The sequence below is a fragment of the Homo sapiens genome, chromosome 17 (genome assembly GCF_000001405.40).
Source record: "Homo sapiens chromosome 17, GRCh38.p14 Primary Assembly".
NCBI lineage: Eukaryota > Metazoa > Chordata > Mammalia > Primates > Hominidae > Homo > Homo sapiens.
In genome coordinates, this window is record NC_000017.11 from 7,813,961 (window position 1) to 7,831,031 (window position 17,071).

Consider the following 17,071-nt stretch of genomic DNA (forward strand, 5'->3'; position numbering starts at 1 on the left):
ATTTTAGGTCTAAGGATTCAGTGGTGAACAAGTCTCTGACTTCACTGTGCTTATATTTTCTTTATATATAAATGATTCTGTGCATGGACTATTCTAGAAAGCTACACGGGAAACTAGGGCAGGGCCTGGGACCAGGCTCAGGAATGGCAGGAAGACTTCCCCTTAACCGGGTGCACTTTCGTTCCTTTTGGATTTTGATTTATGTAAATATATTCACTATTCTCCAAAAAAAAAAAAAAAAAAACAGATAGTAAAAATTATTTTCTAAGATATGACAAAGATTTTATTAGGTGTAATAATAGTGTTGTGGTTATGCAGAAAAATGTCATTATTATTACTTTTAAAGATATGTTATAAAGTATTTAGGCTTGAGGATTTCATGAGTTTTTAATTTACTTAAAGATATTTTGGCAAAAAACAAGTAGATGAAATATATATAGCAAAATGTTAACTGTGAAATCTAGCTGATGGGTGTTTCTAGGTTTAAGTTTTCATAATAATTTTTAAAAATTTAAAGCTCCAACGAGATTAGCATACTTTAAAAATAGAGGCATACGCATAATTTTTCAGAGATACAGAAGTAACAACCAGCATAAATAAAAAGAAAAGTGGTTAAAAAGTAGTTTGCCATGGTTGGGCGTGGTGGCTCACGCCTGTAATCCCAGCGCTTTGGGAGGCTGAGGCTGGAGGATCACCTGAGGTCAGGAGTTTGAGATCAGCCTCTACTAAAAACACAAAAATTGGCCGGGTGTGGTGGTGCATGCCTGTAATTCCAGCTACTCGGGAGGCTGAGGCAGGAGAATCGCTTGAACCCAGGAGGCAGAGGTTGCGGTGAGGTGAGATGTGCCATTGCACTCCAGCCTGGGAGACAAGAGCGAGACTCCGTCTCAAAACAAACAAACAAACAAAGTAGTTTGCCTCAGAGGAAGAAGTCTGGCTGTGGGAAAGGTGGTCTAGATGCTACTTTTCCTGTAACCTCTTTTATATCATTTAGGTTTTAACCTCGTGCATGTATGTCTTTCTTTCTTTTTGAGACAAAAAAAAAGAAAAAGAAAAAAGATTGGCCATGCTGGTCTGGAACTCCTGACCTGGTGATCTGCCTGCCTTGGCTTCCCAAAGTGCTGGGATTACAGGGTGAGCCACCGCACCTGGCCCTCCATGTTGTTTTAAAGAATATCTTCTGGAGAGTGATCTCTCCCATTTCCAAGTGCTTGGGTCAGGTAGTGCTTGCTTGCTGTGTGCCTTGCACCGTGCCATAGCCCACATCACCCTTACCTGCAGCCACCTTGGCGAGGCTCCGAAAGGATGAAACTTACCAGAATTACTCAGTTAAGGCAGAGCTACTTCTACTTTCTAGTAGTGGAACTATTTCCACGATGTGGGCTGCCTTTCCCAGTGAGGTGGCAGCGGGAAAGGGAACATGTATCGTGTAAATGCTATGTGTAATCCCCCACCCCATATTCCTCATGATGAAAAGGACGGTGATACAGTCTGTAACCAGGCACAACTGCTGTTGGGTGGTCAGATATACATACAGGATCACACACACATATACAGGATCACACACACATATACAGGATCACACACATATACAGGATCATACACACATATACAGGATCACACACACATATACAGGATCACATACACATACAGGATCACACACACATATACGGGATCACACACACGTATACGGGATCACACACATATACGGGATCACACACACATATATGGGATCACACACATGTATACGGGATCACACACACGTATACGGGATCACACACACATATACAGGATCACACACACATATACAGGATCTTGGGACAAGGCTCTATCAGTTCTCTCCTTCAGATTTCAGTGAATATATATATATTCATTCCAACCTCCACAGAGTCCACAGGTGGCAATGACTTGAGAGGGGTTTCTCTAGTATACACAGCTCTGCCCAGGCCTCCATCTCTAGTGTGGGACCTTGCACTTGGTCCTTTGTCTTTTTATTTTTATTCTTATTTTCTACTTTTTGAATAGAGGCGGGGTCTCACCATGTCGCCAGGCTGGTCTCAAGCTCCTGGCCTCAAGTGATCCTTCTGCCTTGGCTTGCCAAAGTATTGGGATTACAGGCATGAGCCACCACGCCCAGCCAGCTCTTTGTCTCGAATGGACTCTCCCTCTAACAGCTCTTGGGTTCATTTCTTTCTTTTTCTTCCTCTTTCAAGGTTCCACCTTAGGTATGGCCTCTGGCATGGAGTGGCAGTCATTTATGTGCTGTCTGGCCTTCACTTGCCACCATCTTGTGTGGCTTATTATGCTTCAAGAGGTCTCCGTCCCCTACCCAGCTACCCTGAAACTACCAAGTAGTTTCTGGGCTCTAGGAAAGGGTGGTGGAAGGAAGGGGAAGAAAATTCACCTCATCTCACGTATTTTATCTCATTTACTCTTCACGATAACCCTATAGGGTAGGTATTCTTTTACAACATGAGGAAACTAGGCTCAAAGAGATTAATTTAACAAAGCTACAAAATGGCAGCTACAAAATGGCAGAGTCATGATGTGAACAAGAACAATCTGGCTGCGAGCCCTGTGTTTGATGCGCTATACTCGAATCTCTCCCAGGTAGCTGAGAAACTGGAGATGCTAAAGAAACAGTATGATGAGAAGCTGGCACAGAAGGAGGAGCTTCGCAAGAAGTCTGAAGAGATGGAGCTGAAGCTGGAGCGAGCTGGGATGCTCGTGTCGGGGTTGGCTGGCGAGAAGGCCAGATGGGAGGAGACAGTCCAGGTGAGATCAGCTGTACTACCTGGTGTCCTTTCACTCTGCTCGCCACTTCCGAGAGACCCATCCCTTTTAGCTTGAGGAGCAGTCAGGGAAAACGGGGACACCTGGGTATAGGGAACTCTAAGAACTGAGGCGTGGGAGCTCTTCCCCTCCCCCTGCACACCTTTGGTGAGAGCAATGGAAGGAAAGGCTTTTTGCATTATTAGGGATCTGCTTCAGTGTTTGGGCAGGGCTGGGAAGCACACACAAGGACTCTTGATGTAGCCCAACAACCAGACAGAAAACAGACACAGCACATCTTGCTTCTGCCCCTCAGTGAGCTCCTGGCTTCACAGAAAGGTTAGGCCTTATCACCAGAATGTAAACATTGCCATTAGAGATAGAGAACTCAAAAGTAATTAGAACCAGGCTAGAGTTGTCAGGACACACAGGTTTAGGGGAGGGAAAGATCCTCTTTGAACCTGACAGTGTCCAGAAGAGGGTGCCTTCAAAAGCATTCCAAGTGTCTCCCAGAGTGCTGGGGCCCAGGCAGGCTTACCCTCCCTCCTGTCCGCCAGGGCCTGGAGGAGGACCTGGGCTACCTGGTGGGGGACTGTCTCCTGGCAGCTGCCTTCCTGTCCTACATGGGACCCTTCCTGACCAACTACCGGGATGAGATTGTCAACCAAATCTGGATCGGGAAGGTGAGATGGGACTCAGGCATGACAAGTAGGCTCCGAGACCAGGGCTGGGGGCAGGACCTTTGGGAATATTAAGAGATACCGTGAAGGCGCGGGGGCTGCTGGGCTCAGCTCTTCAAGTTAAAGCATGGGGCTTTTCTCTCCCCAGATCTGGGAGCTTCAGGTTCCTTGCTCCCCTTCTTTCGCCATCGATAACTTCCTGTGCAATCCTACCAAAGTCCGGGACTGGAACATCCAAGGGTTGCCCTCAGACGCCTTCTCCACTGAGAATGGCATCATCGTCACCCGAGGCAACAGGTGAGGGTGCTGCTGGGCGTGGGGGCGGTACGGGAGCATGGGAGAGAGGGCCTCACCTCTGACCTGTACTCCCCTTCCAGGTGGGCACTGATGATCGACCCTCAGGCCCAGGCCCTGAAATGGATTAAGAACATGGAAGGAGGCCAGGTGTGAGGCTGGGGGGTCAGGTTAGCCCCCCCCTTCCTGAGGCCCCACCTCTCCCGTAGTGTTCCTTCACCTTCCCCCTTGCTCTCTAGGGCCTGAAGATCATCGACCTGCAGATGAGCGATTACCTGCGAATCCTAGAACACGCCATTCACTTTGGATACCCGGTGCTACTTCAGAACGTGCAGGAATATCTGGACCCCACACTGAACCCCATGCTCAACAAATCTGTAGCCCGAATCGGTCAGGACAAGTCCCCAAGACCAGCCAAGTGGGATGCTAGGGAGGGAAGGGCTGGCTCTCTGACTGTGTCCTCTTCTTACCTGTCCCTCCATTCAGACAGCCCTGGCCTGGGGCCTTAGGACAGGCTGAGTCGCTGCCCCTGGATGCCGGTGGGGGATGGGTTAGCTGGTACCCATCACATGGAGTCCTTGCCCCTGACCCTTCCGTGGATGCAGGTGGTCGGCTGTTGATGCGCATTGGCGATAAGGAGGTGGAATATAATACCAATTTCCGTTTCTACATCACCACCAAGCTCTCCAACCCCCACTACAGCCCAGAGACCTCAGCCAAGACCACCATCGTCAACTTTGCTGTTAAAGAACAGGTGGGTACAGGCTGAGGTCCAGACTGAGCTAGGGTGAAGCAGGAAGAGTTTGGAAGGATTGAGAAAAGGGATAAGCTTGTGTTGGGCAGCTGAGGATGAGGGGTCTTTCAAGGTGGAAAGAGATGAGGAAGGTGAAGGTCGAAGGAGTGACAGCCCCTCACTGTGAGTCCTGATGCCCCCAGGGCCTGGAGGCCCAGCTGCTGGGCATTGTGGTGCGGAAGGAGCGGCCTGAGCTGGAGGAGCAGAAGGACTCACTGGTCATCAACATCGCGGCTGGTAAAAGGAAGCTCAAGGAGCTGGAGGATGAGATCCTGCGGTGAGGCCCTGCCTTCCCCTCCCACTGCCCCACGGGTCTACTCCCAGCCAGCCTCCACCCAGTCTACCCCAGGCACAACAGCATCCCAGGGAGCCTGGTCCCGCTAACCCCTTGCTCCATGTGCCTCTGGGCCTCCCCCTAGGCTGCTGAATGAGGCCACCGGCTCCCTGCTGGATGATGTGCAGCTGGTGAACACGCTGCATACCTCCAAGATCACAGCCACAGAGGTGACTGAGCAGCTGGAGACCAGTGAGACCACAGAGATCAACACTGACTTGGCGCGGGAGGTAAGCTCCCGGCCCTCCAGTCCTGCCTCCCACCAGCCATCCAAGATGCAACTCCATCATGACGGCTCGAGACCCCTCCTTCCCTGAGCCCCTGCTCCCTGCCACGTCCCTCAGTGGCCCTGACTCCACCCATCCCCACCGGCAGGCTTACCGCCCATGCGCCCAGCGGGCATCAATCCTGTTCTTCGTGCTCAATGATATGGGCTGCATCGACCCCATGTACCAGTTCTCACTGGATGCCTACATCAGCCTCTTTATTCTCAGCATTGACAAAAGCCACCGCAGCAATAAGCTGGAGGACCGCATTGACTACCTGAATGACTACCACACCTACGCTGTCTACAGGTCTGAGGGTGCCCCCAACATGCCCCAGCCCGGAGGCCGAGTGGCTGTGGTTCTTCTGGCCACTGCACCTTCGTGCTTTCCCGCACCGCGGCTCTCAGCCTGCCGCTGTCCTTGGCATATGTCCTCCTGGTAGCTCCTCACTCTCATGGCTTAACCATCACCTGTGGGCTGATGATTCCCTGTCTTGTGTCTGTAGCCCTCCCTTGAGCACTGGACTTGTCTACACAACTGTTGGAGATACCAGCACTGCCCAGATGTTAACGGGCAGGAAGTGCACTGGCAATCTTGTGAAAGTACCGGTTGGGATTCTGCAGGTCTGGGGTGGGGCCTGGGTTCTGCAACTCCAACAAGCTCCCAGGGGTGCCACTGCTCCTGGTCTGTGGATCACATTTGAGCAGCAAGGAACTGGACTTCTCTACCCTGACATCCCACAGACCCTTCAAGCTCAACTCACTTCAGATCAAACTCATTCTCTTCCCTCTTCCTTCAGGGTCCTCATCCTTGGATGGCACCAACACCCACAACCCAGTCACCCAAGCCAGAAATTGGGAGTTATCCTTTATTTTTTATAATTTTTATTTGTACAGAAAGGGTCTCCCTATGTTGCCCTGGCTCGTCTCAAACTCCTGAGCTCAAGGGATCCTCCTGCCATGGTCTCCCACAGTGTTGGGATTACAGGCATGAGCCACCACGCCTGGCAAAAACTGGGAGTTATCCTTGACTCTTCCCTTTCAAAGCAGTCACCAGGTTTTGTTCATGAATATTTCTGCAACTGTTCCCTCCCCATCTTCCCACTGCTTGGCTGTACTTTAGTTCTGGCCCTGGTGATCCTTTTTTCTGAGTTGCACAATGGTCTCCTAGAGGTCCTTCTGCCTCTACCCACTGTCCCTCTCAACCCACCCTCCTGTATTGCCCACCTGAACAAATCTGCCCATGCCGCTTCCCGGGTCTGACTGCCAGTGGTTGGTTGCTTGGCCCCTGTGGCCCACGAAAGCCCTCAGGACCTGGCCTTCTCCTGCCTCAGCCTCACCTTTCCCACCTTGCACTGGGGGCCTGAGCGTCCCTGACTGCCCTGCATGCTGTGCCCTTCTCATGCTTTTGCTCATGCTGTGATCTCTCTGCCTCTCCCATGTCACCTGAAAACTCTACTGCAGCTTGGGGCAGCTCCTCGGAAACTTTCCAAGTCCAGCAGGCAGGGACATCATAACTGATGGCCTCTCTGTCCTCTCCGAGACTGTGGCTTATTCATCTTTGTGTCTTCAGGACCTAGCAGAGTGCCTGGCAAGACAGTAGGGGAATAATGAATGTTTTGTTTTTTAATGGAACTGAATGACTAATTATGAGTGAATGGCTGGGCACGTTGGCTCACACCTGTAATCCCAGCACTTTGGAAAGCTGAGACGGGTGGATCACCTGAAGTCAGGAGTTCAAGACCAGACTGCCAACATGGTGAAACCCCATCTCTACTAAAAATACAAAAATTAGCCAGGCGTGGTGATGGGCTCCTGTAATCCCAGCTGCTTGGGAGCCTGACGCAGGAGAATCGCTTGAACCTGGGAGGTGGAGGTTGCAGTGTGTCGAGATCGTACCATGGTACTCCAGCCTAGGTGACAAGAGCGAAACTCTGTCTCAAAAAGTAATAATAATAATAAGTGGACTCTGGGAAATTCTTGTGTCTAGGCCCCTGAGTCCTCAGCTGTTTCCAGGAGGTTAGGATTAGAGGCTGGTGAGGTCCTCTGTGTGAAGCTGTGTGATAGTAGCATCATAGCATTCGCATGGAGCATCAGCCCCCATTCCATGCTGCCCCTCCCTCTTCCCTGTCCCTTTCTCCCAGGTACACCTGCCGTACCCTTTTCGAACGCCACAAACTACTATTCAGTTTTCATATGTGTGCCAAAATCTTGGAGACTTCTGGCAAGCTCAACATGGATGAATACAACTTCTTTCTACGTGGGGGTGTGGTGAGTTGGGCAGAGAGCACATCCCAGGATGGGATGGTCAAGGTTGGGGATGAGGGCAAGTGTGACAAGGACTCCAGACCCAGAGGGTCAGGCCCACAGCATCAGTGAGTGAGCTGAGAAAATCCAGGCCAGCATCAGGTGCATGGTGAGCTCCCTGGGGCTGCGGAGGTGACTTGCCATGCACCCCCTTGCACTCAGCGCAGGCTGGGCTTTGTGGCATGTCTCACCTGTGACCCACAAACTGGCCTGATCTTGCCGCTTTTTTACTGCCTTTCAAGGCACTCCTTCCCCAGCCTGAGTTCCATGGTCGCCCTCACAATCTCTCCCTCACAGGCTCCTCAACCCCAGCTTTTCTCCTCTCTCTGTCGCATCTACCGCTCTGGCTAGATCCAGCTCCTCTTCCCCTCTGTCCCTGCGCGGCCAGTGCACTGAGCATGGCCGGAGAAGAACACATCCACACCGACTGGACGCGCTTTAAGTCCATGATCGTGAACCTCAAGGAGGCCCCTAAGGCTTCCAGACAACCATGCTGCACTCTCCCGCCCTCCTAGACATTTTCTTGACTTTTCCCACCTTCACTTCCTGCCTCCCACCCCAAACTCTCAACACAGCAACCAGAGAGGTCCCACTCTGTCACTCACTGTGGCTGGACCGCAGTGGCAGTGATCTTGGCTTACTGCAGCCTCGACCTCCCAGGCTCAAGCCATCCTCGCATCTTAGCCTCTGGAGTAGCTGGGACTACAGGCCTGCGCCACCACGCCCGGCTAATTTTTGTATTTTTTGTAGAGGCGGGGTCCCACCATGTTGCCCAGGCTGGTCTCGAACTCCTGGGCTCAAGTGATCCTCCCACCTCAGCCTCCCAAAGTGCTGGGATTATAGGTGTGAGCCACTGTGCCCGGCCTGAGAGGTCCTTTTAAAGTGGATGCCATTGTGACGGGCTCCCCATGGCTGGCGCCACCTCCCACCACACAGCCCCCACTCCACTCCAGCCACGCAGGCCTCATTGCCCTCCCCAAACCCCCTGGCACGTCTCGCCTCAGGGCCTTTGCGTGGCCATGCCTTCTGCTGGAAGCCTACTCCCCGGCGTGTGCACCTGGCCATCTCTCACCTCCTTCAGACCTCACCTCAATGCGACCTTGATCTTCTTATTTAATACTTCAAACTACCCCTCAACACTCTCAGTCTCCCTTACCCTCCTCAGAGTATCCTATTTTTCCTTGGCACTGCCGTCTTTGCTATACTAGATAATTTACTTATTTGTTATGTTTTTGGTTCATAATCTGCCCATGAATTCACAATCCCATGTTAGAAAATAAAATCCCCAAGGGCAGATATATTTGTCCATTTTGCTCAGTAATGCATCCCAATGATTAAAATGCATAGTTGGCGAACAATAAATATTTGTTAAGAAGAATGAATAAGCAAGTGAGTGAATGAATGAGTAAATAGTTTGTGCTTCTGTGAAGGTGAGGCTACCAACCAGTCATTAGGTTGGAGACATTATTACCAGGCAACCAGCAGAGGGCGCCAGCTTCCTAAATTTGAACTGTGAGGGCTAAGGGCAGGGTCTGAGTCCTAGCCCCCACGTTTATTCCCCAGGATCCCTGTATTCATCTCTTCACTCTCATACAAAAGCCATTTTGGGCTGGGCGCGGTGGCTGACACCTGTAATCCCAGTACTTTGGGAGGCCGAGGAGGATGATCACCTGAGATCAGGAGTTCGAGACCAGCCTGGCCAACATGGTGAAACCCCGTGTCTACTAAAAATACAATAATTAGCCAGGTGTGGTGGCGAGCACCTGTAATCTCAGCTACTCAGGAGGCTGAGGCAGGAGAATCGCTTGAACCTGGGGGTCAGAGGTTGCAGTGAGCCGAGATTGTGCCATTGCACTCTGGCCTAGGTGACAAGAATAAGACTCCATCTCAAAAAAAAAAAAAAAATTCCATTTGGTTTTCCCACCGAGAGAGAGAAAAATACAGAGAGAGAGAGAGAGAGAGAGAGGAGAAAAAGATCACTCTTCTTTTGAAGTATTCCCAAGTCAATCCCTTTCTTCCTCCCCTTCTCCCACCAGGTCTTGGATCGGGAGGGCCAAATGGACAATCCATGTAGTAGCTGGCTTGCAGATGCCTACTGGGATAACATCACAGAGCTAGACAAACTGACCAACTTCCACGGACTCATGAACTCCTTTGAGCAGTACCCTCGTGACTGGCACCTGTGGTATACCAATGCTGCCCCGGAGAAGGCGATGCTGCCAGGTACCAGGCGTCTGTGTCCCACTCTCACTTTTCTCCTTCCCTCCATTCAGCCACATGCCGGCCCTTCCCATTGTCCTCCATCCCCTCTCCCAGCTGGTGCCTGCCTCCTGGCCCGGAGCACATTCCCGGCAGGTGCCCCTTTGTCTGGATTCCCCGCTCTTCCAGACTCACTCCCTCTCCCTGCAATGACTCACCTCATCCCCAGGTGAGTGGGAAAATGCCTGCAATGAAATGCAACGGATGCTGATCGTTCGCTCCCTGCGCCAGGACCGCGTGGCCTTCTGCGTGACCTCCTTCATCATCACCAACCTTGGCTCCCGCTTCATCGAGCCGCCTGTGCTGAATATGAAGTCGGTCGGTGGCTCGGCTTCCTTGTCCCCACGGCCCATGGGTCTTTCCTGCCTCCCTCGCTCTGTTTCAGTCTCCTTCATCTCTCTCTCCCACTTTGGTCATGTGGCCTTCTGCCTGATGCTATACCTGTGCTTCTGGCAGGTGCTGGAGGATTCAACCCCACGATCCCCACTCGTGTTCATCCTGTCCCCTGGTGTGGACCCCACCAGTGCCCTGCTGCAGCTGGCAGAGCACATGGGCATGGCCCAGCGCTTCCACGCCCTGTCCCTGGGCCAGGGCCAGGCCCCCATCGCTGCTCGGCTCCTCCGAGAGGGTGTGACTCAGGGTTGGTGTCCATCCTTTCTTCCACCCCCATCTTCAGCCCAGTCCTTGTCCCTAGAACCTCCAACCTCAATTACACTACTGTCCCTGTACCTCCCACTTCTACAGAGGGCCCCAGAAGTGGCAGATCTTAGTGTTAGGCCCCCCCAGCACCCCCACCCCAACACCAGGTGGAAAGCATGAGGACAGGCAGGGCTTAGGAAATGATTCCCACTGACCCTGGCATCTCCTTGCAGGACACTGGGTGTTCCTGGCAAACTGCCACCTGTCACTGTCTTGGATGCCTAATCTGGACAAGCTGGTGGAGCAGCTGCAGGTGGAGGATCCTCATCCATCCTTCCGCCTCTGGCTCAGCTCCATCCCCCACCCAGACTTCCCTATCTCAATCTTGCAGGTCAGCATCAAGATGACCACAGAGCCACCAAAGGTATGTGGCCATAGAGAACCAGCATCATCAGGGCCATCTGGTCCACCTTACCTCCTGCTAGCACCAGAGAGAGGGCTTAACCAACAACAACATGATTTGATTGTCCTCAAAAAATTCCACCTCATTCCTCTCCTGTTTGTGCCAAACTCCTAGAACACAATAATAAGAGCTAACATTTCTTGAGTGATTATCATGTGCCACGCACTGTTCTAAGTTCTTTACATTTATTAACTCGTTTAATATGGGTGTGTGCACACACACACCCTATAAGGTGAATACTGTTACCCCCATTTTAAAGATAGGAAATGAGATACAGAAAGAGTAAATAAGTATTCCAGAGCCAGAGTTTGGGTAGTTGGGTCCCCAAATTCATTCTTTTATACCTCAGAACCTTCCTGCCTCCCATCATTTCCTTACATCCTCTTCCGAATGTCACACTTCCTGCCTCTTTGCCTTTCCTTTCCTCCGACTCTACTGAAATTTTTATCTCCAATATCACAAGCTCATCACCAAATGCAATCATCACCACCCTCTAAAATCTGCCGTGTCACTGCGCTTCACCCACTCACCCCTGCTTAAACTATTTTAGTAGCTTTTCATTGCGCTTAGTTGAGATCAAAATCCTTTTTGCTCACCCTGTGAAAAGCACATGGACCAGTATGTATCATCCTCAACAGATAAGAGCTGTTTGAATCACGCATGGGTGCCTTTCATCATTATTAATCCTCCTTGGCCACTTGGGGCAGCTGTCACAGTCGACTGTCCCTTTCCCTGGCTCCCTGACACATCACTCCTGCTTTCCCCGCTGTCTTTTGACATATCATTTATTACTTCGGTGTTTCTTTTTCCTCTGCCTGTGACCAGATTGCAATACTTACTCCTTAACCTAAGGACTAAGAGGGGAGGGCCAAAGAGGGGAGGGACCCTTGGTCCTGGCCCAGCGTTTCTCATTCTACTTTCTCCTTTCACAAGTTGTTGGAGAAATTGTCCTTTTCATGATTTCAACTCTAATCCCATCTCTGGCATCAGCCCCAAAGTCAGTGCCAGCTCTGAATTGCCATCAGATTACAAAGCACTTCTTGGCACACCAGCACCATAATAGCAACTCGTTTCACACTTTTTTGTCCCAACCCCCAAGACTCAGAATGTGATTACGTTTAGAGGCAGGATATTTTTTTAGAAAGCGTCTTGGCCAGGCATGGTGGCTCAGGCCGGGTGTGATGGCTCACACCTGTAATCCTAGCATTTGGGGAGGCTGAAGCAGGTGGATCACCTGAGCTCAGGAAGGTTAGATATGGAGTTCAGGTATGATAACCCTGGCTAGAGGTGGAGGTTGCAGGGAGCTGAGATTGCGCTGTTACACTGCAGCCTGGGCTCCGCCTCCCAGGTTCAAGCAGTTCTCCTACCTCAGCCACCTGAGTAGCTGGGACTACAGGTGTGCGCCACTACGCCCTACTAATTTTTGCATTTTTAGTAGAGACAGGGTTTCACCATGGTGGCCAGGCTGGTCTCGAACTCCTGACCTCAGGTGATCCACCCACCTTGGCTTCCCAAAGTGCTGGGATTACAGGGATTACAGGTGTGAGCCACCGTGCCCAGCCTGAGTTTTACTTCAAATAAGAAAGTCCCTGTATTCACAGCCCCCAGTTGCCAGTTTGGGATATAGTCCTGGAGTATATTCCTGGGTCACTTCCTGCTATCCAGTCTTTTAAAAAAGCTAGATATTAAGTAGGTACAAAAGAAGATTTATAAAATATATGCAAGTTATAAAGGATCATGATTCCTTGAATATCTGTGTGCCCATCATCTTTTTTTTTTTTTTTTTTTTTTGAGATGGAGCCTCACTCTGTCGCCCAGGCTGGAGCGCAGTGGCGCCATCTCGGCTCACTGAAACATCCGCCTCCCAGATTCAAGCGATTCTCCTGCCTCAGCCTCCGAGTAGCTGGGATTACAGGTGCCCGCCACCACACCTGGCTAATTTTTGTATTTTTAGTAGAGATGGAGTTTCACCATGTTGGCCAGGCTGGTCTTGAACTCCTGACCTCAGGCAATCTGCCTACTCTCGGCCTCCCAAAGTGCTGGGATTACAGGCATGAGTCACCGCACCCGGCCCATCATCCTTTTAAGAAAGAAAAATCCCAGCATTTTCTTTGAAGTCCCAGTGTGCCTCTTCCCAATCTCATCACTTTCCCTCCCCACTCAGAGGAAACCACTCTTCTGAATCTTGTATTTGTCATTTTCTTTATAATGTTTTTCTTTTCCTCTGGAGTTAGGGATTCTTTTTCATTGTAATGCAAAAGTTTGTATTGCTAATGCAACCATTGCTATATATGTTTCTCTGCAACTTGCTTTTTTCATTCAACATTATGTGCTTGACATTCATTCATGATGTTCTTCGCGTTTTGTAGTTCTTCATATATTCCAGATCCTAATCCTTTGTCAGTTATGTGTTTTGTGGTTTGTCTCTTCTCTTTTATGCTGTTTTTTGGTGAAGAGAAATTCTTAATTTTTATGAGGTTGAATTTAGCTATCTTTCCTTTTTTAAATGGTTTGTGCTCCTTTGTCTTGTTCAAGAAATCCTTGCTTAAAGATTGTAAAAGTACTCTCCTATACTTGCCTTCCAAAAAATTTATAATTTGACTTTCACATTTAAGTTTTTAATCACTTGGAATTCATTTTTGTGACTGTGGTATGAGGTAGAGGTCCAATTTTCTTTGGTTTTGTTTTGCTTTTTTTGAGACAGAGTCTTGCTCTGTCACCCAGGCTAGAGTGCAGTGGCGTGATCTCGGCTCACTGCAACCTCTGCCTCCCAGGTTCAAGCGATTCTCCTGCCTCAGTCTCCTGAGTAGCTGAGATTACAGGCACCTGCCACCCTACCCAGCTAATTTTGTTATTTTTTGTAGAGACGGGGTTTCACCATGTTGACCAGGCTGGTCTCGAACTTCTGACCTCAGGTGATCCACCCGCCTCAGCCTTCCAAACTGTTGGGATTACACGCATCAGCCACTGCGCCCAGCCAATTTTTTTTTTCTACATGGATAACCAATTCTCCCAGTACCACTTCTCAAATACTGCGAAAGTACTTTTCTGATCTGTAGTGCCTGCTCAGCCTTCAATCATGTTTCCATATATGTATGGGTTTCAGGGTCCTTTATTCTGTTCATTGGTCAAATTGTTTTATCCTGGAATCAATACTTTAGTCTTTGTTTGTTTGTTTGTTTGTTTGGGATGGAGTCTCACTCTGTGGCCCAGACTGGAGTGCACTGGCACCATCTTGGCTCACTGCAACCTCTGCCTCCCAGGCTCTAGCAATCTTTCCACCTGCACCTCACAGGTGTGTGCCACCACTCTGGCTAATTTTTGTGTTTTTTTGTAGAGACTGGATTTCACCATGTTGGCCAGGCTGGTCTTGGACTCCTGGACTTAAGCTGTCCTCCCACTTCAGCCTCCCAAACTGCTGGGATTACAGGTGTAACCCACAGTGCCATGCTGATATACTTTAGTCTTAATTACCATATAGCTTTATAATAATTCTTGATGGCTGGTAAGGCACATCTTCTTACCTTATTCTTCTTCAGGCTATTCTTGACCTTTTATTCTTCAATATAAATTTTAGAATTTGTTTGTTCTATTAAAAAAATTCTATTCATCAGTTTGGGGAAAATTCACATCCTTAGAACAATGAAACTCCTAATCTTTAAGTATATTTCTCCATTTATTCATTTTTTCCTCTTTTTTTAGACAGAGAGGGTCTTGCTCTATAGCCCAGGTGGAGTGCAGTGGTACAATCATAGCACAATGGGATTGCGGGTGGCATGAGCCACTGTTCCCAGCCTCCATTTATTATTTATTTTAATAAAATTCTGTAATGTTCTTTTTTTATTTTTTATTTTTTAAATAGAGACAGAGTCTTGTTACGTTGCCTGGGTTGGTCTCAAACTCCTAGGCTCAAGTGATCCTCCCATCTTGGCCTCCCAAAGTGCTGAGATTACAGGTGTGAGCCACTATGCCTGGCCTAAAATTCTGTAATTTTCTCCGTAAATAATCATACATTTTAATTGGATTTATTTCTTGGTACTTGACATATCTTGATGTCATAAGTGGCATTTTTTAAAAAGTCATGTTATTTTTGTTACTGCTATCCAGTATTCCTCAAGTTTCTCACTATTCCATTCTGTCAGTCATAGATAAGTCTTTTTAAAACGCTGTTTGAACAGATTGCTGTCCTACTCAAGATAGAGACTGGCTCCATGATGCCCGGTGAATCAAGTCCAAATGGCTCAAACATCCATTATTATTATTATTTTTTTTTTTTTGAGACAGAGTCTTGCTCTGTCACCCAGGCTAGAGTGCAGTGGCGCTCTGCAACCTCCTCCTCCTGGGTTCAAGCGATTCTTCTGCCTCAGCCTCCCGAGTAGCTGGGACTACAGGTGCGTGTCACCACGCCTGGCTAATTTTTGTATTTTTAGTAGAGAGGGGTTTCACCATATTGGCCAGGCTGGTCTCAAACTCCTGACCTCCTGATCTGCCCACCTCGGCCTCCCAAAGTGCTGGGATTACAGGCGTGAGCCAGCGCGCCTGGCCACACATCCATTACTCTTATTGCATCTCCATCTATCCACGGCCCTCCTCTTCCCACCTGAGCACTTGCACTTGACTTCAGCCAGGCTCACCCTGTCACTTTATTCTGTCCTCGGTGCCTTTATTCAATTCCTTGCATCTCCAGGAAAGTAAGACTCTCCTCTCAAGCCTAGTCATATCCTTCCCATTTGGAAGGCTTAGTTCAAATCCCAGCTTGCTCATGGAGACTAATAATGCCAATCACATAGACTGTTCTTCCTTGATGATATATTATGGACTTTTTAATCTACACTAACCTTTGCACGCAATTCCGTACATTTTTGTTAGTTGAACGTATATGTACTTATCTTTGTTCATTTTTCTGGCACCCCAAATTGTGCTGGCCTACCTACCACTGAGAACATCAGGGCCGAGAGGATCAAAAGTGGTGGGATGGCTGGGTGCGGTGGCTCACACCTGTAATCCCAGCACTTTGGGAGGCCGAGGCGGGTGGATTGCTTGAGGTCACGAGTTTGAGACCAGCCTGGCCAACATAGTGAAACCCTGTCTCTACTAAAAATACAAAAAATTAGCTGGGCATGGTGGTGGGCGCCTGTAATCACAGCTACTTGGGAGGCTGGGGCAGGAGAATCGCTTGAATCCAGGAGGCAGAGGTTGCAGTGAGCTGAGATCACACCATTGCACTCCAGCCTGGGCAACAACAGCGAAACTCCGTCTCAAAAAAAAAAAAAAAAAAAAAAAGTGGTGGGACAAGAAGGCAGGGCTGCCGCAAGCCCATACAATGCCTATCTGTGAATTAGAGAAAGGCACTCAGCCTTGTGGAAGAATGTAGATCTTGGCATGTAGATCAACGGCTACATTTCAGCCTCCACTCACCCTTTCAGCCAGTGCCTTTGTGCAATGAAGAACCTCCACAACTGTACATGGCAGTGCTAGTGGCAGGTCTGAGTGTGATGCATGTCACCCCATCTTTATATTTCATTGTCCCCAGGGCCTAAAGGCCAACATGACACGTCTTTACCAACTGATGTCAGAACCACAGTTTTCCCGCTGCTCCAAACCTGCCAAATATAAGAAGCTGCTGTTTTCACTCTGTTTCTTCCACTCTGTGTTACTTGAACGCAAAAAGTTCCTGCAGCTTGGCTGGAACATCATCTATGGCTTCAATGACTCCGACTTTGAGGTTTGCATTAGCCAGGGGTCCTCATCCCAGCCCTCTCTCCTTACACGTCCTACCCCATGGCTCCCCTGTGGGAATATCCGTGGACACAAAGCCTGTGTTGAAGCCCCATTGGCAGATTTCCTGCCATAACTCTGGGAATGGGGGCTTGGGCTGGGATCATGCCTAGGTGTCAGAAAACTTGCTGAGCCTCTATCTCGATGAGTACGAGGAGACACCTTGGGACGCACTTAAGTACCTCATTGCCGGCATCAACTATGGTGGACATGTCACAGATGACTGGGACCGGCGCCTGCTGACCACCTACATCAATGATTATTTCTGTGACCAGTCTCTATCAACTCCCTTCCACCGGTGAGGGGGAGGTGGCCCTGGACAGGGAGCCAGAGGTCACAAGTCAGCCAGGTGGTGGGATCAGGGGTGGGGGTAATGTTTGAGGAGAGGACGTGAGATTGGAAGAAGACAGAGTTTGTGGGATTGAGATGGGGAGCAGGGCAGGGAGCTGGACAAATTGGACATGCATAGGTTTGGGGTCTTGGCCTG

The 17,071-nt window shown here is 49.5% G+C and overlaps 1 protein-coding gene across 10 annotated transcripts in view, besides 2 other annotated features; it reads left to right on the plus strand.

The window, feature by feature from the left end:
- The window catches only part of DNAH2 (dynein axonemal heavy chain 2), a 115,999-nt gene that overhangs the window by 96,217 nt on the left and 2,711 nt on the right, over nt 1-17,071 (plus strand). For 8 of the 10 annotated variants that reach the window (NM_020877.5, XM_047435424.1, XM_011523667.3 and 5 more), the window contains 16 exons: nt 2,611-2,775; nt 3,330-3,455; nt 3,601-3,749; nt 3,830-3,896; nt 3,986-4,136; nt 4,352-4,500; nt 4,683-4,816; nt 4,959-5,103; nt 5,249-5,448; nt 7,283-7,409; nt 9,482-9,668; nt 9,874-10,022; nt 10,161-10,344; nt 10,577-10,767; nt 16,340-16,531; nt 16,698-16,882. In NM_020877.5, coding sequence (NP_065928.2) covers nt 2,611-2,775; nt 3,330-3,455; nt 3,601-3,749; nt 3,830-3,896; nt 3,986-4,136; nt 4,352-4,500; nt 4,683-4,816; nt 4,959-5,103; nt 5,249-5,448; nt 7,283-7,409; nt 9,482-9,668; nt 9,874-10,022; nt 10,161-10,344; nt 10,577-10,767; nt 16,340-16,531; nt 16,698-16,882 — 2,501 coding nt within the window. Of the gene's footprint in view, nt 1-2,610; nt 2,776-3,329; nt 3,456-3,600; nt 3,750-3,829; nt 3,897-3,985; nt 4,137-4,232; nt 4,501-4,682; nt 4,817-4,958; nt 5,104-5,248; nt 5,449-6,602; nt 6,867-7,282; nt 7,410-9,481; nt 9,669-9,873; nt 10,023-10,160; nt 10,345-10,576; nt 10,768-16,339; nt 16,532-16,697; nt 16,883-17,071 lie in introns of those variants that run through there. The other 2 variants (XM_017024219.2, XM_011523670.3) reach the window with 2 other exon arrangements.
- Nucleotides 8,850-8,899: a silencer, noted in NCBI's record as "silent region_8137". NCBI's record gives its function as "represses an Ori minimal core promoter by ATAC-STARR-seq in GM12878 lymphoblastoid cells {active_cell/tissue: GM12878}" and the evidence as "EXISTENCE:reporter gene assay evidence [ECO:0000049][PMID:35858748]".
- Nucleotides 8,910-8,959: a silencer, noted in NCBI's record as "silent region_8138". NCBI's record gives its function as "represses an Ori minimal core promoter by ATAC-STARR-seq in GM12878 lymphoblastoid cells {active_cell/tissue: GM12878}" and the evidence as "EXISTENCE:reporter gene assay evidence [ECO:0000049][PMID:35858748]".